We start from the raw sequence: 16,906 nt of genomic DNA, 5'->3' as shown, positions 1-16,906 counted from the left end.
AAGGGTTTACATTTTTATATCTATAACTCCTTTAACGAAAGCTTACCCTGGGTTGGAAGAGTGGGAGACACTCTTCCGACACAGAGCGAGGAGCTTGGGGAAGTGGACACCCTCATGGTCGTGGAAATGAGCAAGGATGTTAACATAAACCCCAAATCCATTCTTCTGTGATGTTACTTCCTTTCTCTTCGGTCTTGATAAAATATGAGCAGAAGCTGCGGGCTCCGGGTAGGGCTGCGGGGTCTCGGCGCCTTTTCTTTTCCAGGACTGTGCGTCTCCTTTAATGGGCGGGGCCGGAACTGGCCGAGGGTCCCCGGCTTTGTGCGTGTCGGGGGCGGAGTTTGAAGAAGGCTCTTACAGCATGGCCGCCGGTACTGCAGCTGCCTTAGCGTTTTTGAGTCAGGAGAGCCGAACGCGGGCCGGGGGTGTCGGGGGCCTACGGGTCCCGGCCCCGGTCACTATGGACAGTTTTTTCTTCGGTATTAGTGAAGGGAGAGGCTGAGGGTGGTACTGGGGCGGTAAGAGGTAGGGATGTGAGGCGGGAATGCGGAGGGTTTCAAGGCGTGGGTGTGGGCGGAGGGCTGCTTCGCTGTTCCCGCAGGAGAGGGGGCCTCGCACGCACAGCCAAAGGGGGTGGCGAGATCCCTGCCCCAGATGTGTTGGGCGGGGCCCACGGCAGAGCGTCCCAGGTGTTCTGAGAGAAGAGACGGAGGTGGACGTGTAAATGACCCGTCCGCCCAAGGTTACACGTGACGGCGGGTTGGTGACATCCCCCGCTGCCCAGCCCCGTACACACGCTCAGGCATACTCACTGTTATTTCTACCAGGCTGTGAGCTCTCCGGCCACACCCGCTCCTTCACCTTTAAGGTAGAGGAAGAGGATGATGCGGAGCACGTGCTGGCACTAACCATGGTGAGGGGCAGGGGAGTGGGGTTTTAATGAATAAGCCCAGGCAGGCAATATAGGTCTCTACCCAACCTCCGGATCCCCTTTACTTGGAGACACATCCTCAGCCTAACCCCCCGGCATGGGCGGCTCCCCTGGCCAGGTGAACCGGGACCTCTGAGGCTGGGCAGGTGCTAGGGTAGATGCCTTTAGTTGTGGTGTCAACCCTCACTTGAGGAGACCCTGAGGCCCTGTGTACCGTTCCCAGCTCTGCCTCACCGAGGGAGCCAAAGACGAGTGTAATGTGGTAGAAGTTGTGGCCCGGAACCATGACCATCAGGAGATCGCAGTCCCTGTGGCCAACCTCAAGCTGTCCTGCCAACCCATGGTGAGTTCCCCAGCTCTGCCTTGGTGGTGGTGGTGGTGGTGGTGAGGGGATTGAGGACGTTAGCACTCATTACAGTGTGGGGTGGGCTAGGAGTGGGCCAGGCCTTCATCCTTGTCTTCCTCCCAGCTCAGTCTGGATGACTTCCAGCTCCAACCACCTGTAACCTTCCGCCTGAAGTCGGGCTCTGGCCCTGTGCGGATCACTGGGCGGCACCAGATTGGTGAGAAGAGGGGAGGGCCCTCTCCTTTGCTTCCAGTGGACTCTCCCATCAGGCTTCCCCCACTCCGCACTCCTGCCCCATCCCACCCTCATCTCCCAGTGCAGCCCTGTACAGGTCTGTGTGCCCTCCACGCTGTGCCCTGTGCATGACATGCCCTCTCCTTTCCGTCTACTCAAGCCTACCTCCTCCATGGAACATGGCCCAACTTCTCCAGCTCCAATAATGAAGACTCCTTTGGCTCTTTGTGACCCAGTTTAGGGTCTGAGGTTCTTCCCACCTAGCCCATAAGCACTGGGAGGTCATGGTCCCTGTAAGCCTAACACCACGGCGTGAAGAAATGGCATGCGGTGTGAAACGGTCTGGTCTTAACACCCCATCCTTCTACTGCTTGTGTGTCCACCAGTTACGATGAGCAATGATGTTTCTGAGGAGGAGAGCGAGGAAGAGGAAGAGGACAGTGATGAGGAAGAAGTTGAGCTGTGCCCCATCCTTCCTGCCAAAAAGCAGGGGGGCAGGCCCTAGCCCTCCTAGGTGAGTTGCGGGGAGAAGTGCCTAGCAGGCTCTGGGAAGGGGCAGGAGAAGCAGGTGAGGGCCTAAATGCTGATTCCTTGTTTCCTCTTTTCAGGTCAGCTCCATGTGCCATGCACCGCCATGCACCCTGTTCCCTGACAAGTTTCAACAATTGTAAATATTTCTTCCTTGAAGAGGAGAGCTTGGGTGGGGGTTGGGTGGGAGGGACTTGGGTCTTTGGTGCTAGGAGAGGGCCTGTGCTCCACACAGCCGTGGTTTTCTGATTTTCACCATGCCCGGGGCCTCCCTTCCCACCTGCCTGTGAGAATTGGAGGTTAGTGCCTGAAGCTCAGAGCTACACATTTTTAATAGTTTTTACATTTTTGGATAAAGGTTGAAATAAAGTGGTGTGGAGTTTTTGCAGCTCTTGTGTGGCTTCTTCCTGTGCTGGGTGATGTTTCCCTAGGGACCGCCAGGTGGCACTGTGGAAGCACCCAGCGTGGCCCTGGGCCTGGGGGAGGGTGGAGAACTGTGGGATCCTCTACCCTCATGGCCCTGGGCTAGGACCTGGGGCCTGGGCCCCAGTTGCCTTGCTGGAAGGGGACCTCCCAACACTCAGCCCATTCCCAGTCTCTGCAGGTGGGAGAGGGTCATCGCAGGAGGTTATCAGCATCCAAACAAGGGGTCTGGGCCTCTGTCAGCACTCGGCTGATGGGCAGGGGGGCAGATAAGCGAGCTTAGGCAGCCTGAGGAATGCGCGTCCCTAGCCCCACGAGGGTCTCTGGCCCAGAGAGGGCCTGTGAGGGCAGGGCGGGACCAGGCTTCGCTCCTCCTTTGAGCCTTGCAGGCTGTCTCTGAGCAGGGCTGGGCCCTTAGAGAAACCTGACTCCGGGGGCCAGATGGAGGGGACTGGCCAGATTGGGTGACAGGGAAACCAGAATCCGGGTGGCCTGGCATATGGGGGCAGAAAGGGGCCCCAGGGAATTTGCCTCCTGGACTAAGGGATTCTTGTCCCCCACACACCGTGGGGTCTGGGGGTCTTTGGTGCCTGGAATCAGGTAGTTCTGGCACTTGGCTGCCTTTGTGCCAGGAAGAACTGACACACCTGGTTTGAGGATGAGTGTATGTGACCAGCTCTGGGGTCAGCAGTTCAGCAGCTGTGTTGGTTGTGGGGGGAGGGTTGTCAATGCCCACAAACAAACAAACAAACAAAACATTGCCTCCCCAGACAACCTGGGGCCAGACAGGCTGAGGATAGACAGAGAACAGGGCCTGATGGGGGTCAGGCCAACTCCCACTCCCAGCCTCTAGTCAAGGGGGAGGGGCCCCGGGATATCGCGGGCTGGTGGTTCTGGGGCAGGTGAGGTCAGCTTTGAAGACCTTGCGTCCGCAGTACCGACCCGCACGCTCTTCAGCGCATCCCTAGTGAAGGAGGTTCTCCCCCAGCCCGTGGTGAGGAACTAGGGGTCCAGTTTCCAACCTCCCTCTTCCTCAAGTTGAGGACAAAGGGAGATGACGCCCGTCTGTGTTGCGGTGATCTGGGTCGCAGGCGCCTTTCTCCGATCCAGGAGGGCGCTGCTAAAAATGCTTCCCTGGGGAGCCCGGCGGAGGGGCGGCCTGGCTGGGAACCATGGGTCTCGCTGCGGAGCGCGGTCGGCAGGGAGAGGGAAGTCGGGGCTGGCGCCCTCTGGCGGGCGAGGTTGAAGCCGCTCGTGGTCGTACCGCTTCCCTGGCCTCTAGAGGCTCCGGGCGGGCGCCGTGGGGCCGGGGCCTCCGAGTCCCGCCACTGCTCTGGGCGGCCGAATCTTGGGCGGAAGGCGGGGGAATGCCACTGAGGCTTGCATGCATGCGTGCATACGTTCATTCATTCATTCGAACGACTTGAGTTGGAGTGGGGAAGTCTGGCTGTGGCCCTCACTCCTCTTTCCCTTCCTCTTCTTGGCCCCAGCCTCCAAAGTCCTCGGCACGTGCTTGGCAGGAGGAGCGGGAGACTGGCTGAGTCCTCTCTCCTGGGAGGCCTCCCTAGCTGACCCATCTACCCCCTGCGCGGCTCCGCCCCAATATTTACCCCACCCACCCCCCGCGATGCCACTGATCGCTCCTTGCATTTCTCGCCGGTTTTCCGGGTAGGTCTCCCGGTGGGCGCGGGCCTGCGCCGAGCACGCTCCTGCCCGCAGTGGGGGCCCAATCCACATCAGCCTCTCGGCCCAAGAGTTTCTCGGCCGGTTGGGGCGCCCCGCGGACACAGCTGGGCAAGGTTTATTCCTCTCTCCTCGCCCCAGCCTCTCCTCGAGCCCTCTTCTTTGCCCTTCAGCGCACAGTAGGAGCGCTGCCGGCTCACTGTGGCCTCAGACCCCTGGGGGATGAAGGCATACGCCGGGGTTTGCCGACTGCTGGAGGAAGGGCAGGCTTCTATTTGGGGGCCGAGGGAGACGACTCCCAGACAGTGGCCGAAGTGCTTAACGTAGTCTCGGCGATTTGCATTTGAACGGTCGGCAGTGAGTCCGCGGCGCTTTGAACGCCCGGCGCAGGAAGCGCGCGTCGGAGCGAGCTGCGGTCTCCGGCGGGTGTGGATTGGAGGGGCCGGGGGATGGGCTGGGATCGAGGGGTGCGTTTGGAAATAGGCTGAAGTAGTGTGTCTGGGTGCAGGCGAGGGCGTGTCTGCGGAGATGGGCCGTTTGTGTTGGCGAGGAGTGTGTGTTTGTGTTTGCAGGCGAGGGAGTTTGTGTCTGTGCGTGTGTGTGTTTGTGTTTGCGGAGTGTGGGGGCGGCCAGGAAAGGTGGCCGGGCTGTCACTCAGCGATCAGGTTGACAGGCGCTCCCTCATCTGGGCCAGGGAGCTCTGATTGCAGATTCGAGGAAACAAAATAGCAATTGTAATTACCGGGCTTTGATAAGATAAAGGAGGGAGGGAGCTGGCCGGGAGGCGGGCGAGCCAGCAAGGGAGGGAGCGGCCTGCGGGGGCCCGGCGGGACATTTGCATCTGTCAGTCACGGGGCGTGCCAGGGCAGAGCCAGGTGCTTGCTCCCGGGGTGTCCCCATCTGCTCCTCTCCCCCAGAGAAACGGACTTTTGGGGAGATGAGAATTTCAACGAACTAGGTGAGGGTCCGCTTCTCAGGAGGGTCTCCAAATCCAAATGTAAAGGAATCCTGGTCCAGCACAGGCTCCCTGGCAGAGGCTGGGACAGGACTGAAACTTGACCTCGGACCCTTCAGATCCCAGGACGCCCATCTTCTCTGGGGCAGAGGAAGAAGGGTGGCTGAAGACCATTGAGGGTCAACCCAGGGCCCTCAGAATCTTCTGGGGGTTCCACAGCTGGAGCTGAATGCTGGTCTCAGCCAGGGGCTCTGCCCCTACCCCCATTCCAGGGAGGGGCAGGTACCCAGAGTGGCTCTGGCTGTGACCCCAGGACCATGCAAACACTGTTGGATGGGCGGGTCACCCTCACCCCTGCCTGGGGCCTACTCCCTGCTCTGCTTATCTCACTGATGTTCAGAGAGTCCATGGTGGGAGAAAGCCCATTTCTTACAGGAAGTGCCTGCTCTCCATCTCTCCATTCAATCATTTGTTCATCGACATACGCAACTAAACATGCTTGAGGGCCTACTGTGTACAAGGATGAGGGTAAGACCACAAGCAAACAGACATAACCTTTGCCCACTTGAAGCAGTGCAGAGAGGGAAACAGACACTCAATGAATTGTGACTCAGGCCTTACACAGAACACAGGGAAGGCAAGGGCTGGCCTGGGCTGTGGCCACTTGTGTCCACCTGACTTGTCTCCGCCTGATGGACCCACCTCCCCATGGGCTTTAGAGGAGACAGTGCCTGCCAAGCCTGTGGCAGATACAAGTGCTCACTAACTGGTGGTGTTCCTGGTGATAATCTGTTGGGAGGAGGTGAAGGCAGGTCTTCCTGGGGAAGTTGCAAATAGGCTGAAGTCTACAGGCTCAGCCACTTCCCCCATCATTCATTCATTCATTCATTCAACGAACTCTTAATTGCAGAACAGCTCTGCCCAGCCTTGTGCCACGAGCTGTGATTTCTGAGCTCATAAGACATGGTCCTTGTGGGCAAGGTCTGTGTGGGCAAGAGCCCACTGAACAGACTCCTGGAGGAGGATGGCAAGTGTGCTCTGGAAGTCTACTTCTCTGAGGAGGGATAAGATCTTGGAACGCACCCTCTAACTGTTTTCCCATCTCTCCATTGCTCAGTGTTTGCATTTATGGCTGGGAGTTGGAAAGATGGGGCACAGGGAAAGGTGGGACACAGAGCAGGGAGGGAGGCAGGGCCTGGCTGTGCTGCTGGACTAGGGCTGCCGCTAATTTTGGCCTAATGGCTTCCTGGGACCACACCAAACCCTCCAGCCCTACCCCCAGGGGAATGGAGGGTCACTGGGGAAGGGGAGGTTGTAAGTGAAGACAGCAGTCTGGTAGGGCATCACCTGCTCCTCACAAGGCACCTGTCCCAGAGCATCTCTGTCCACCCAGGCTGCTCCCACAGAAGCAGCATGGGGGCTCAGGGTTTCCAGAAACCTCAGGGGGGAAGCCACAAGGTGGGGGGCTAGGAAAGGCTTAGACAAGTGCCTACCTTCTCCTATGCCCCAAGCCCAGCTGACCAGCCCCTGCCTAGAATACAGTAGGTGTGTAAATACCTGTGAAATGAAAAACGAGTGGGGCTTTGAGGGGGAAAGGGCTGGGTGGCCTGGATGGAAGTCCCTTCCCCCAGTAAAAGCTACTGAGAGTTTTTTTGCCCCTGCTGCCTGCTGAGGTACGGGGACAGTGGGTCCTGCCAGGGACCTCCGGACTCTCTCTTCCACACAGGTGGCTCGGGGTGCTCCTCAAGCTTCAGGCTAGTGTGTGTGTGTGTGTGTGTGTGTGTGTGTGTGTGTGTGGTGAGGGGCACAGGGGAAGGGGTGATAGTGATAATGGGATGGGGGGAGGGGGAGGCATTTCTGGCTCCCAGGGCCTCCTCGGGAGAGTGAAGGAGACTGGAGAGACCGACAGGACGGGGCACGCGGCCGAAACAGGGGAGCGGGGTCCGGGTGGCACCGGCACGCACTGCGCGAGGGCCGGGTGCGCAGCCATTCGCTGCATGGTTAGCGGCCGCTCCCAGGGGCCCGGCGGGACACACAGTAGGTGGCTCGGAGACCACTGCGTAGCCGGCGGCGGAAGCGGCTGGGCCCGGAGGCGGAGACCCAGACCCGCCAGACTCGGGCGCTCCAGGCGGTCGGGGAAGCCCAGGCTCGGGGTCTCCCGGCCCGCAGAGTTTGCAGCCCTAGGCGCCCCCATCCCCGCGCGTCCGGGACCGGGGAGCGCGCGAGGGGACAGGCCGGGGATAGGGGGAGGCGCCCAGACCGGCCGCCCCCGCCCCTCCCGCGGGTCCCCAGACCCCTCCCCTAGCCCAGACCCTCAATCCCGAACCCGTCGGCCGCCCCTCCCCGGCCGCCCCGCCCCCGCCCCGGGCTGCATCCAGGCCCCAGTTCCCAGCCGGGGGCTGCGGGCTCCCGCCGCCCGCCCCGCGCTCCCCCCTCGCGCCCGGTGCGGCGCCCCCCGCCCCCACCCCTCCCCGCCCTCCCACCTCCCCACCCACCCCGCCAGCCCGTGACCCTCCCGCCCGCTCCGGCTCCCGAGCAGCCAGCGGCCACCGGCTCCGGCAGCGGCGCACAGCGATTCGGTGCGGCGCGGCGAGCACGACGTTCCACGGGACCCGCGGAGCCGCGTCGTGATCGCCGCCGGCCTCCCGCACCCGCACCCTCTCCGCTCGCGCCCTGCTCAGCGCGTCCTCCCGCGGCGGCCCGCGGGACGGCGTGACCCGCCGGGCTCTCGGTGCCCCGGGGCCGCGCGCCATGGGCAGCCCCCGCTCCGCGCTGAGCTGCCTGTGAGTACCGCGCCGCCCTGCCCCGCCACCCGCCCCCCGCGCCCCTCGCCTCACCCGCGCCTCTCTCTCCCGCCCGCTTTTGTCTCCCACAGGCTGTTGCACTTGCTGGTCCTCTGCCTCCAAGCCCAGGTGAGGAGGGGTGCGCGGAGGCGGGGGCCGGGCGCGCCGGTGTGAGACCCGGGTGGGCAGCGCCGGTCGGGGGCACCGGGACTGACTCTGCGGCCGGCGCGGGAGGGCTGAGGGCACCTTAGAAACCCAGCCCCGAGCCACCCCGAGGAGGGAGCTGAGGCACAGAGAGGTAGCACCCCTCCTGAGGTCACACAGCGAGTGAGTGGCCAGGATAGAAACGAAGGTCTCGGAGCCCAGCACTGTCCCCCATGCATCCTCGCCGGCTGGGGGCATAGGGAACACCCAGCCGCCGAGGAAGGGGGCAGCCGCGGCCAGGGGATGGATGTTCGATGCCAGGGGAAGCCGGGTGACTGCAGCAGAGACCCTCTCAGCGCCCCTCGGGGGAGGCTTGTGGCCGATTTGGCCCAATGATCGGGTGCCCAGGTTCCCTGCACTCTCAACATTTGCTCCGTAAATTTGTCTTTATAAATGTCAGGGGTCGGGGAGGGCTGCCTCCCTACTTAAAAGCGCCCTGCTCCTCTAGGAAGGCCCGGGCAGGGGCCCTGCGCTGGGCAGGGAGCTCGCTTCCCTGTTCCGGGCTGGCCGGGAGCCCCAGGGTGTCTCCCAACAGGTGGGTCCAGCTTCTCCCTGGGGCTCGTTCATCCTGGGCTGGGTCTGCCCGACTTGCGTGGGTGGGGGATGGTGGCCTGGGCTGGCATGTTGGGGGAACCCCCAGCACCTGCTGGCGGCTTGGGGCAGTGAGGGGGACGCAGGGTGATGGGGCCACTCGGGCCCCTGGGCGGAGTAGCATTATAATGGTGTATTGTGTATTTTTCAATTTCCTAAAGGTAACTGTTCAGTCCTCACCTAATTTTACACAGCATGTGAGGGAGCAGAGCCTGGTGACGGATCAGCTCAGCCGCCGCCTCATCCGGACCTACCAACTCTACAGCCGCACCAGCGGGAAGCACGTGCAGGTCCTGGCCAACAAGCGCATCAACGCCATGGCAGAGGACGGCGACCCCTTCGGTAAGGCGCGCTGAAGGTAGCTTGTGGGATGCGCGGCGCCTGGACCACCAGTCCCAACTGCACTGGCCGGGGGCCTGCAGGGTCCCCAGCTCAGAAGGGAAGGAGTTAAGGCAGAAAGGTGTCTTGAGGGTCAGCTGGGGAAGAGAGGGCTAGGGAAGGGGCCTCGGGGAGTACTTGGCCACAGGTGCCCCCTTCCCTGCCCAGCAAATGAATGAATCTAGGAATCTCCCTTTACACCTCCCCCCTTCATACACTCCTCCCCAGCTGCAGGTGGAGGCAGGGGGTTCAGGGGGAGGGGGCCTAGGTTTAAGGCAAGCGCTTGAAAGAGGATATGTCGCCAGGGCCCACAAAAGGAGAGTGGGAAAGAGAAGGGAGAGAAATCCCCTCAACTCTCCCAGTTGGAAAAGGAGGTTGCTGGGAACCCTTAAATACTTTAATCGGATGGGTCAATTTACACGTGGAAACTGGGCTTGGAAGGGGGCTCTCCCTGCTCCATTCCCTGGGGAACCCAGGCGGCTGGGGCAGGGCTCCCGGCTCCCTGTGGGGTGGCAAGTGCGGAGAGCTACTGCCGGCAGAGAGGCTGAGGACTGATTGATTTCTAAAACATTCAATATTCCTGCCTTGAAACGGGGCCAATTTCCAGAGTCCTGGATGTACCAAGAGAAAAGCAAGCCCTCTGGGCGGCTGGTGTTGTTTTTAGAGAGCGATTATTGTGAGTTTAAAAACCTTTAAATAATGACCACGTTAAACAAGCATGAAAGGAGAGGGGAAGACTCTATTAAAATGTAATAAAAAGGTGAGGCATTTTAAGAGCTAAGAAGAAAAATGAAGAATGATATAAAACAGAAAAAGAACGAGCTTTTTTTCAGATGTGGAGTTTGAAAGGAGTTGCAAGTCTGTAAATGTTAAAAAAGAGGTTCAAGATTGTTCTCTCTGAATCTCTGGAGAGACCCCTGCGTCTGGCAGAGCGATTAAAACTCTTCTTACTTTCACCTTTTTTAACATTTCCTGAATACTTTCTCCTCTTCTTGAGCCAGTTTGGGGGATCGAGTATGTCTCGCTGCATTTTTTCTGCATCGACGTAGCTGACTTCCCTTCAAAGCTGGAGGAGACATAATTTTCCTGGGATAAATCTGTCACTGGGGTGGAAGAATAGGTTTGAAAATGTTAAGCTTTCCAAAAGCCCGGTCGGGAGAGCTGCCGTAAACTGCGGCCCCAGCTCCCCAGATCGGAGCAGATTCAACCGACATGGGAGAGAGCGGGCTTTCTGGGGTGGGGGTGGGGGCGGCCTGCCTGGTGGCCGAGCTCCCCTACTGGGCTGGCAGAGCAGGCCTACCATCCCTTTGTCCCTCCAAATTAGCTGCTTGCTGCCCTTCTCAGCTTCTAAGGAGAGGAGACGAATGCCTGGCTCTTCCAGGGTTTGCTCTGTCAGAGCAAATGGCCCAGCATCCTTGGATTTCGGGGAGGGAAGCAGAAGTCAAGCTGGTGTGGGGGAATTCATCTTCAGACATCAGAGGAAGCCTGATGTCCACTTCTCTCCGTGGCCATATAAGAGGTTTCCCGCCTTCCCTAGTCCCTGCCCCACAGCAGGATAGGAGCTGGAGGCCCTAAGAACAGAGGCTCAGGGTGTTCAGCCAGGACAGGAGTAGTCCGGGGAGAATAGCAGAGAGGTCTCAATGGCTTCTTTACCGGCCCCAGGAAGATGCAGAGGCACCTACTTCATCCCTGCCTGCCGCATCTGGCCAGAATCCCCAGAGTGGCATCCTCTCACTCCTCCAGTCAGCATCCTTCCTGGCCCTTAAAAATAGCTGCCTCTTGCTGTGGAAGGCAGAGCGGGAGAGGGATGAGCAGACTGGCTAGGTCCAGGAGGAGGTGGGCAGGCAGGGAGGTGACAGCTGCATTTCCCTGCTGACTTGGGGCCAAACCGGGGGCTTGGCCACTGGTCCCAGCACTGAGCCTGTGTGAAGCGGGGAACATTACAAGCTGAGCAGTGATGACTGACTTGCTGACCTCGATGCCCCAAACCCCTGCCATGGGTTTCAGGGACAGAGGAGGTGCCATATGTCAATGCAGGCTAAGTCCAAGAACTGCTTTCTCAGGGAGGGGAGAGGCTGGGCTCTGCGGCAGGGACGGCAGGAGAGCCAGCGCCTTCTGTCCCTTCCTAAACAGTGAAGTCACCCTCACTACTTTCTTGAGGACAGCCTATAAGAGATGATTGCACAGAGAGGTGAACAGGACAGGCTTCTGTGGCAAGTTGGCTGTCTAAGGGGAGGGGAATGGGAAAGGAGGCATAGAATTCAGCCCTGCCTCCTGGCCTCCAGTCTAAGAGGCCAGCAGGCAGGATTCTCCCTCCTCCTCACCCACAGAAGCTATTTGGTCACTGGGCTGAGAAGCCCAGCTGTGATGAGGCTGAAAGAGAAAAGACAATTGAGTTGTTGATTTCTAGACACTGGGCTGGGGACCCTGGTGACTGGGAAGCCACAGGGAAGAGGCAGGATCCTCCTGGCAGGTGTCTGAGGTTCTGGGAAAGCAGCCTGCTTTGGGCTGTGTGTTTAGGGAGAGCTGTCCCCATCCCTAGCACCTTCTCAGCAGAGCAGAGCCTGGTGATGTTGAGGGGCTGGGGGTGGCCAAAGCTGTGAGTTAGAACCCAAAGTGGCAGAAACAGGAGACAATGCTTTCATCTTTGGCCTTGGGACTGGAGGTCACCCCTTCACCCAAGTGTTTGTAATGACCTGTGAGACACGCACACATAATATTTGGAGTTGGAAGGATCCTCGGAGATCTTTTGATTAGCTATGGAACTCTGATTCAATTAAATTTTACTTAGATCCTCAATCTAAGAGACATCACTGTCTGGTTTAAAAAGAGGGTGGAAGGAATGGCACTTCAGCCTTTTCAATTTGATAGTCCCAAGACCTCTCTTGAGAACCCAGTTTGAAAACCATAATCCCGTCCACTGCCCTCTGTAAACCCAGGGGTGGGGCCCGAGGTCCAGAAAAGCCCTTTCTCTGGGTTGCACAGCATGTTAGTAGCTGGGCTGGAGCTGGAGTCCATGTTTTGGGTTCCTGGTCTTTGGAGCAGTTGCTGCTGGGCTGTGACAAGTGTGTGGGCCAGCTGGGGTCAGGGATCTGCCAATAGCCATCCTGCTACCTTCTCTGACAGCAAAGCTCATCGTGGAGACGGACACCTTTGGAAGCAGAGTTCGAGTCCGAGGAGCCGAGACGGGCCTCTACATCTGCATGAACAAGAAGGGGAAGCTGATCGCCAAGGTGAGGCCCCAGCAGGCAGGTGGGGTCCGCGGGACCTAGGGAGTGGCTTGGGCTGGCTGGACTCCTCCAAGACAGTCCTGGGCTCTGATCCCAACAAGGTAGGCAGAAGGCCACAGGGCCATCTTGGGGTTACCTCACGATTGGGTGCAGGAGTGAGGGAGAAGGAAGCTGTTTGAGAGATGAAAACTATAAAAGGCGAAGGAGGAAGAATGAAGGCTAGGGAAGGGGCTGGGGGGTGGTGGTTGGTAAATTCCATATATCTTTTTAACAAATCGCCAAATTGCTTTGCTATTATGTCCAATTACATGGTACCAGCATTTGGAATGTTCAGTAAGCCGCAGGCCCAGCCCCTCGGCCGAGCTCTGAAATGGCTCCATTAGTCACGGCTCCTCTCCAGCCTCGAGCTCCCCACTTCCTGGGCTTCTGGGGCTGGGGTCTTAGCATCTTCTCCCAGGCCTCCCCTCCCCCATAGGGTGGCTGCCCTGGGGCCAGGGAACCGAAGTCCTGGGGGGGTGAGAGGGGCAGGTGGGGAGACGGGTGGCCAGACTGGTGGGCAGGAGGCCAGAGCAGGCCAGGCTCTGGGCCCCTCTCTCTGTCTTTCTGCGTTGGGGCCCAGCCCCTCCGTAGACAACCATGTGTCACTGCTGCCTGGGAGGACAGGAAGTTGCCGGGTGGGCTGCGAGTTGTGAGGGATTAGAGAGCGGGTGCCCAGGCAGGGGGTGGGGCTGCGGCTCCTGCCCACCTCGCCATCTGCTGGGGTGCCCACCTGCTGTCTGGGGCCGCTCGCCCTCTGCCTCTGCTGGGGGGGCTCTGTAACGTGGTGTCTGGCTCCCCTACCTGCAGAGCAACGGCAAAGGCAAGGACTGCGTCTTCACGGAGATTGTGCTGGAGAACAACTACACAGCGCTGCAGAATGCCAAGTACGAGGGCTGGTACATGGCCTTCACCCGCAAGGGCCGGCCCCGCAAGGGCTCCAAGACGCGGCAGCACCAGCGTGAGGTCCACTTCATGAAGCGGCTGCCCCGGGGCCACCACACCACCGAGCAGAGCCTGCGCTTCGAGTTCCTCAACTACCCGCCCTTCACGCGCAGCCTGCGCGGCAGCCAGAGGACTTGGGCCCCCGAGCCCCGATAGGTGCTGCCTGGCCCTCCCCACAATGCCAGACCGCAGAGAGGCTCATCCTGTAGGGCACCCAAAACTCAAGCAAGATGAGCTGTGCGCTGCTCTGCAGGCTGGGGAGGTGCTGGGGGAGCCCTGGGTTCCGGTTGTTGATATTGTTTGCTGTTGGGTTTTTGCTGTTTTTTTTTTTTTTTTTTTTTTTAAAACAAAAGAGAGGCTCTATTTTTGTATTCCACTTGGCTGTGGTGTCTGTCTTCTTAACTCTCAGAAAGCTCCATTAGTGGCCTAGACTGGGATTCCGGCTGGGGGTTTGCGGGGGTGGGGGGCTTTCTCTAGCCTGTGCTGCTGAGGCCCCAGTACCTCCAGGGCCAGTTGGCTGGGCAGCCAGGGACTCCACTGCACCCCCAGGTGGGGCAGGGAGGAAAGGACTGTGACATAGGGCAGTCCTCTTAGAAGTGGGTATCAGACTGGTGGCTATTAAATGATTGAAATATTTATTTAACTTGCATATTAAAAATGTGTGCTGGAGAGTGAGTCCTGCCGGGGTCAGCCCCTCCCTCCAACCTTGCCCCAGCTGGTGGGCGGCTGGGAGACGCAGATGACCAGGTGCCAGCTCTGACCACAGCCTCCCTCCAGCCTAAAGACACCTGCCTGTCAACCATCCCCATCACTGTCACTTGAGGGGTTTTCCTGCAAGGACAGAAGCAGGGAAAGGGGCAAGAAGAGGCTCTTAGCTAGTCCTTGGAGCTCTCAGATGTGTACCTCCTAGCACTTTACAGAGGTCATTGCTAACACTTCCCCAGGCCACCTCAGGGCCAGAAATAATGGATGTGCTAGGGCTAGAGCTGTAATCATGGATTTAATCCTCTTAAAAAGTGCTTCTCTGAGTGCCTAGGTCCATGTGGGAGACAGGTTGGAGATTCCAGAACTTGCTCTTTCTGAGACTCAGGCTCCAGAAAATGAAAGAAAAGAGCAGCTGCCAGGGTCCAAGGTGGGGGCATATTGGAGGGGGACCACCAAGACTGGTGTTGACAATGGTGATGTGGGACAAGTGTTAACCTTGGGTGATATGGTGAGATAGCTGTGGGCAGAAAGCACTGAGCTGAGGTGCGGTGAGGAGCCTGGGGAACTGTCTTCCAGGAAGAGGCTGCCCACCTCGGAGGATGGGCCTGGCGGGAGAGGAGCTGGGCACCGGATGGCACCAGAAGGGAAGCTCATAGGCCTAGCGCAGAACTAAAGGCAGTCATAGCCTTGGGGAGAAGCAGGAGGCCGTATGTGGAGGGAGGGAGGGCTGCTGTGGGAGTGGTGGAGCAGGTCATGGTGTGGGCAGAGAAGGGAATGGGCAAGGGTGCAGGTGTGTGTTTGCGTGTGGACTGGTGAGACTGGTGTCCTGCCACACCGAGGGAGAGCCCAGGCCCCACGGCAGTTTCCTGAGTGCAGAGCTGGCCCAGGCTTCATCGCTGAGGCCTCCCATTAGGGCTGCTCCTGCTTCCTTCCTTGTGGATGCCCTGGGCTGGTCCCACAGCCCAGCTACTGAGCCAGTCTAGAAACCTCGCTCCTCTAGGACTCTGTCCATTGGCATCTCCTGGGGTAGGGAGCAACCCAAGGCTTCCTCCCACAGTTTCAGGCCCAAGTCCCAGGTTTAGCCCACCCCGGCAGATCAGGAATTTCGAGGCTTAGTGGGAAGCCCGGCAGTAAAGGCTGGCCTGTCCAGCCACCTCTCGTGGCCTGCCACAGGCGGTGAGGGGCTCTGGAGAGAGTGGGTTTCTGCTGGTGCGTAGACACTGGATGTAGCGAAGGGGCCCTAGATGTCTCTCTTCCAGTTCCCCCAGCTCTTAGCGCCTCCTCCTCTGCTCCCTTCCCCCTTTAATTAATTCTGGGTAAGCAGCCTGGCTTTATTGTGCAAGGAGCTGGGGTCTCACTGTGGGAAAAGTCACACCTTCTGAGCAGCTTCTGATGCCATGCAAATGAAGGGACCGTCCAGGAAACGCTTTCATCTGCACGGTCTCCTGTCCAGCCCCTAGCCCAGTAATTACCCACATTTCATTTGTTTGAGAGCAATTCCTGGGGGAAGGCACTGAGTAGGAGGGAGTCTGGGGCAGGGGGTGGAATGTCAGGCTCTCTGCCTGTGATCCTGGCCACAACGTGGGGCCAGGCTGGGCCGAGGCTGGTCACTGGCTAAAGCTAATCCTCATGCCCCCAGGTTGGGGAGGCCTGAGTCCTCCAGGGTGGTGGCAATGGGATTGTGCCATGTTTACATCTTGGAAGAAGAAGGGAGCTCTCCAGAGAGCCAGACCTGCCTTCTAGAAAGAGACACCTGAATAGGGAAAGGTGAGGTGGAGGGGGACAGAAGGGTGGGACCTGGTCCTTGAGGTTGCCTGCAGCTTTGGGAAGAGGTTGACTCCCAGTAGGACCCCAGGCCAGGGACCCATGGGAGCTGCGCCCAGAGCACTGGGGCTAGGCCAGGCTAGAGCACCCATCAACTTGTTTATCTTTGAGCCGCTGCCTCCACAGAGCCCTCACTAACGGGGTTTTACAGCCCACTCAAGCTGCAACTGGCCAAGAATCAATCATTACCGGCACTTAGTGGTTTGATAGTTAACAGCCTGAACTGAAGCCAAACTGGTTGTTAACTGTGATAACAACTGATTTCAAGGGGTTATTGCCGGCCCAATATGCTCAGCCCATTTATTTCGGGGAAAACAAGCAGGGAGCTGTTGCAAGGCCCAGAAAATGGAGGAGGACTGGGCTTCTCTCAGCCAAAAGGCCCCCTGCCACTCCGTCCCAGAGTTGGTGCTGGCTGCGAGGGCCTAGGGGCGGGCTGAGGGCTGCTTCAAGGCTTGACCGTGCACACCCACTGAGGGCCTGCGTGTGAGCCCAGCCGACCCACACACTAGGCCCTCTCCAGCCTTCCCTCTCCCCAGTCCTCACTTCAATTCTCCTCCTGCCTCCTCCCCATGACGCCCCAGAAGGACGGTCTCCATGAGGAGGAACCCAGGCCCAGTGGCCAGGCGTCTACTTGTGCCCACTCAGCAGCTGGGGCTGCACCCTCTGGCTCATTCCTTCCTCACCTAGGGCTCTCAGAGTCCTGCCAAGTACAAACCAGAAATGCCTTTCCTTTCAAAGCCAGCAAAGAGTCCACTTGGGTCTTGACTAGAAAGAATGAGCAAGAGTTCTCTCTTTCCACAGCACCAGGTCCCGCCTCTACCCCTCCCTTCCTCCCTCAGCCAAATGGAAGCAGGTGAGGCCAGGGTCAAGCATCATTCTAGAATGTTGCTGCTACAAAGGGCCTCAGGAGTTCCCCACCCTCCACAGATGACAACTGCAGCCCAGACGACCCATGGCTAGGGTAAAGCTGGTGCTGTCCTAGAAATTGGGTCTCCCCTCCCAGATCCAGGCTGCCTCCTGCAGGCTGCAGGTCTTTCCCTAATTCCATTCATTCATTCAGTAAATGTTGACTGAGTGCCTATGATGTGCCAGGCTCTGTCCTGGGTGAGG

At 59.1% G+C, this 16,906-nt stretch overlaps 2 protein-coding genes and 2 long non-coding RNA genes across 14 annotated transcripts in view, besides 19 other annotated features; 3 read left to right on the top strand and 1 right to left on the bottom strand.

The window, feature by feature from the left end:
* Positions 1–305: 305 nt before the first annotated feature.
* Positions 306–2,427, top strand: NPM3 (nucleophosmin/nucleoplasmin 3). The gene is made up of 6 exons (NM_006993.3): positions 306–479; positions 828–913; positions 1,155–1,274; positions 1,401–1,494; positions 1,898–2,025; positions 2,120–2,427. Exons 1-5 carry the CDS (start codon positions 362–364, stop codon positions 2,014–2,016), a joined length of 537 nt encoding a protein of 178 aa, NP_008924.1. The 5' UTR covers positions 306–361; the 3' UTR covers positions 2,017–2,025; positions 2,120–2,427.
* Positions 739–1,378: an enhancer, noted in NCBI's record as "H3K27ac-H3K4me1 hESC enhancer chr10:103542131-103542770 (GRCh37/hg19 assembly coordinates)". NCBI's record gives its function as "activates a minimal SCP1, AML or CMV promoter by ChIP-STARR-seq in naive H9 embryonic stem cells {active_cell/tissue: H9 hESC(naive)}" and the evidence as "EXISTENCE:reporter gene assay evidence [ECO:0000049][PMID:30033119]".
* Positions 2,306–2,600: an enhancer, noted in NCBI's record as "tiled region #2932; HepG2 Activating DNase matched - State 8:EnhW, and K562 Activating DNase unmatched - State 12:CtcfO". NCBI's record gives its function as "activates a minimal TATA promoter and a strong SV40 promoter by Sharpr-MPRA in HepG2 and K562 cells {active_cell/tissue: HepG2 | K562}" and the evidence as "EXISTENCE:reporter gene assay evidence [ECO:0000049][PMID:27701403]".
* Positions 2,306–7,833: a biological region, named in NCBI's record as "FGF8 5' regulatory region". NCBI's record gives its function as "regulatory_interactions: FGF8".
* Positions 2,446–7,833: a promoter, noted in NCBI's record as "-5406 to -18 promoter fragment". NCBI's record gives its function as "drives FGF8 expression in pharyngeal endoderm and ectoderm, cardiac outflow tract {active_cell/tissue: cardiac outflow tract | pharyngeal ectoderm | pharyngeal endoderm}" and the evidence as "EXISTENCE:reporter gene assay evidence [ECO:0000049][PMID:12054865]" and "EXISTENCE:transgenic organism evidence [ECO:0001131][PMID:15469978]".
* Positions 2,479–3,329: an enhancer, noted in NCBI's record as "VISTA enhancer hs513". NCBI's record gives its function as "enhancer in: dorsal root ganglion[6/7] | cranial nerve[6/7]" and the evidence as "EXISTENCE:transgenic organism evidence [ECO:0001131][PMID:17130149]".
* Positions 3,143–3,163: a protein binding site, noted in NCBI's record as "DR2 DNase I footprint". NCBI's record gives the evidence for it as "EXISTENCE:protein binding evidence [ECO:0000024][PMID:12054865]".
* Positions 3,177–4,074: an enhancer, noted in NCBI's record as "NANOG-H3K27ac-H3K4me1 hESC enhancer chr10:103539435-103540332 (GRCh37/hg19 assembly coordinates)". NCBI's record gives its function as "activates a minimal SCP1, AML or CMV promoter by ChIP-STARR-seq in naive H9 embryonic stem cells {active_cell/tissue: H9 hESC(naive)}" and the evidence as "EXISTENCE:reporter gene assay evidence [ECO:0000049][PMID:30033119]".
* On the top strand, positions 3,383–13,643 carry FGF8 (fibroblast growth factor 8). 5 transcript variants are annotated; one of them, NM_033163.5, is made up of 6 exons: positions 7,638–7,883; positions 7,976–8,012; positions 8,536–8,622; positions 8,840–9,020; positions 12,183–12,289; positions 13,133–13,643. In NM_033163.5, exons 1-6 carry the CDS (start codon positions 7,852–7,854, stop codon positions 13,421–13,423), a joined length of 735 nt encoding a protein of 244 aa, NP_149353.1. In that variant the 5' UTR covers positions 7,638–7,851; the 3' UTR covers positions 13,424–13,643. The 5 variants fall into 5 exon arrangements, with proteins under 5 accessions (NP_001193318.1, NP_149353.1, NP_149354.1 ...); NM_033164.4 differs by having other exon boundaries at positions 8,873–9,020; positions 13,133–13,621; NM_001206389.2 differs by lacking the exons at positions 7,638–7,883; positions 8,536–8,622 and adding an exon at positions 3,383–3,456 and having other exon boundaries at positions 8,873–9,020.
* Positions 3,407–3,536: an enhancer, noted in NCBI's record as "active region_3916". NCBI's record gives its function as "activates an Ori minimal core promoter by ATAC-STARR-seq in GM12878 lymphoblastoid cells {active_cell/tissue: GM12878}" and the evidence as "EXISTENCE:reporter gene assay evidence [ECO:0000049][PMID:35858748]".
* Positions 3,757–3,836: a silencer, noted in NCBI's record as "silent region_2726". NCBI's record gives its function as "represses an Ori minimal core promoter by ATAC-STARR-seq in GM12878 lymphoblastoid cells {active_cell/tissue: GM12878}" and the evidence as "EXISTENCE:reporter gene assay evidence [ECO:0000049][PMID:35858748]".
* Positions 4,075–4,972: an enhancer, noted in NCBI's record as "NANOG-H3K27ac-H3K4me1 hESC enhancer chr10:103538537-103539434 (GRCh37/hg19 assembly coordinates)". NCBI's record gives its function as "activates a minimal SCP1, AML or CMV promoter by ChIP-STARR-seq in naive H9 embryonic stem cells {active_cell/tissue: H9 hESC(naive)}" and the evidence as "EXISTENCE:reporter gene assay evidence [ECO:0000049][PMID:30033119]".
* Positions 5,897–5,912: a protein binding site, noted in NCBI's record as "-1946 to -1961 DNase I footprint". NCBI's record gives the evidence for it as "EXISTENCE:protein binding evidence [ECO:0000024][PMID:12054865]".
* Positions 5,988–6,003: a protein binding site, noted in NCBI's record as "-1855 to -1870 DNase I footprint". NCBI's record gives the evidence for it as "EXISTENCE:protein binding evidence [ECO:0000024][PMID:12054865]".
* Positions 6,739–7,557: an enhancer, noted in NCBI's record as "H3K27ac-H3K4me1 hESC enhancer chr10:103535952-103536770 (GRCh37/hg19 assembly coordinates)". NCBI's record gives its function as "activates a minimal SCP1, AML or CMV promoter by ChIP-STARR-seq in naive H9 embryonic stem cells {active_cell/tissue: H9 hESC(naive)}" and the evidence as "EXISTENCE:reporter gene assay evidence [ECO:0000049][PMID:30033119]".
* Positions 7,994–8,732: an enhancer, noted in NCBI's record as "H3K27ac-H3K4me1 hESC enhancer chr10:103534777-103535515 (GRCh37/hg19 assembly coordinates)". NCBI's record gives its function as "activates a minimal SCP1, AML or CMV promoter by ChIP-STARR-seq in naive H9 embryonic stem cells {active_cell/tissue: H9 hESC(naive)}" and the evidence as "EXISTENCE:reporter gene assay evidence [ECO:0000049][PMID:30033119]".
* Positions 8,733–9,471: an enhancer, noted in NCBI's record as "H3K27ac-H3K4me1 hESC enhancer chr10:103534038-103534776 (GRCh37/hg19 assembly coordinates)". NCBI's record gives its function as "activates a minimal SCP1, AML or CMV promoter by ChIP-STARR-seq in naive H9 embryonic stem cells {active_cell/tissue: H9 hESC(naive)}" and the evidence as "EXISTENCE:reporter gene assay evidence [ECO:0000049][PMID:30033119]".
* LOC105378457 (uncharacterized) lies at positions 12,176–16,616 on the bottom strand. 3 transcript variants are annotated; one of them, XR_007062268.1, is made up of 3 exons: positions 16,480–16,616; positions 13,056–13,195; positions 12,176–12,255 (listed from the first exon to the last, which is right to left on the bottom strand). It is a non-coding gene; the product is annotated as an uncharacterized LOC105378457 (long non-coding RNA). The 3 variants fall into 3 exon arrangements; XR_946253.3 differs by having other exon boundaries at positions 13,127–13,195; XR_946252.3 differs by having other exon boundaries at positions 13,056–13,126.
* Positions 12,842–13,619: an enhancer, noted in NCBI's record as "H3K27ac-H3K4me1 hESC enhancer chr10:103529890-103530667 (GRCh37/hg19 assembly coordinates)". NCBI's record gives its function as "activates a minimal SCP1, AML or CMV promoter by ChIP-STARR-seq in naive H9 embryonic stem cells {active_cell/tissue: H9 hESC(naive)}" and the evidence as "EXISTENCE:reporter gene assay evidence [ECO:0000049][PMID:30033119]".
* Positions 15,116–16,316: an enhancer, noted in NCBI's record as "VISTA enhancer hs511". NCBI's record gives its function as "enhancer in: tail[5/6]" and the evidence as "EXISTENCE:transgenic organism evidence [ECO:0001131][PMID:17130149]".
* Positions 15,116–16,764: a biological region, named in NCBI's record as "VISTA enhancer hs511".
* Positions 16,083–16,764: an enhancer, noted in NCBI's record as "H3K4me1 hESC enhancer chr10:103526745-103527426 (GRCh37/hg19 assembly coordinates)". NCBI's record gives its function as "activates a minimal SCP1, AML or CMV promoter by ChIP-STARR-seq in naive H9 embryonic stem cells {active_cell/tissue: H9 hESC(naive)}" and the evidence as "EXISTENCE:reporter gene assay evidence [ECO:0000049][PMID:30033119]".
* The window catches only part of LOC105378458 (uncharacterized), a 31,140-nt gene continuing 30,955 nt past the window's right edge, over positions 16,722–16,906 (top strand). For 4 of the 5 annotated variants that reach the window (XR_946255.3, XR_946257.2, XR_946256.2 and 1 more), the window contains exon 1: positions 16,722–16,826. This is a non-coding gene — a long non-coding RNA (uncharacterized LOC105378458). The remainder of the gene's footprint in view (positions 16,827–16,906) is intronic. The other variant, XR_946258.2, reaches the window with a different exon arrangement.

Source organism: Homo sapiens, chromosome 10 (assembly GCF_000001405.40).
Source record: "Homo sapiens chromosome 10, GRCh38.p14 Primary Assembly".
Lineage (NCBI taxonomy): Eukaryota > Metazoa > Chordata > Mammalia > Primates > Hominidae > Homo > Homo sapiens.
The sequence above is the reverse complement of the archived record's forward strand: the minus strand, read 5'-3'. Positions and strand labels throughout refer to the sequence as shown.

Bases quoted from the DNA above. Each gene is read 5' to 3' on its own strand.
- NPM3 (NM_006993.3), top strand. From the start codon at position 362: ATGGCCGCCGGTACTGCAGCTGCCTTAGCGTTTTTGAGTCAGGAGAGC. The intron at 1,275-1,400 runs GTGAGTTCCCCA...TCTTCCTCCCAG, and splicing joins AGCTGTCCTGCCAACCCATG to CTCAGTCTGGATGACTTCCA. The intron at 1,495-1,897 runs GTGAGAAGAGGG...TGTGTCCACCAG, and splicing joins CACTGGGCGGCACCAGATTG to TTACGATGAGCAATGATGTT.
- FGF8 (NM_033163.5), top strand. From the start codon at position 7,852: ATGGGCAGCCCCCGCTCCGCGCTGAGCTGCCT. The intron at 9,021-12,182 runs GTAAGGCGCGCT...CTTCTCTGACAG, and splicing joins AGAGGACGGCGACCCCTTCG to CAAAGCTCATCGTGGAGACG. The intron at 12,290-13,132 runs GTGAGGCCCCAG...CCCTACCTGCAG, and splicing joins AGGGGAAGCTGATCGCCAAG to AGCAACGGCAAAGGCAAGGA.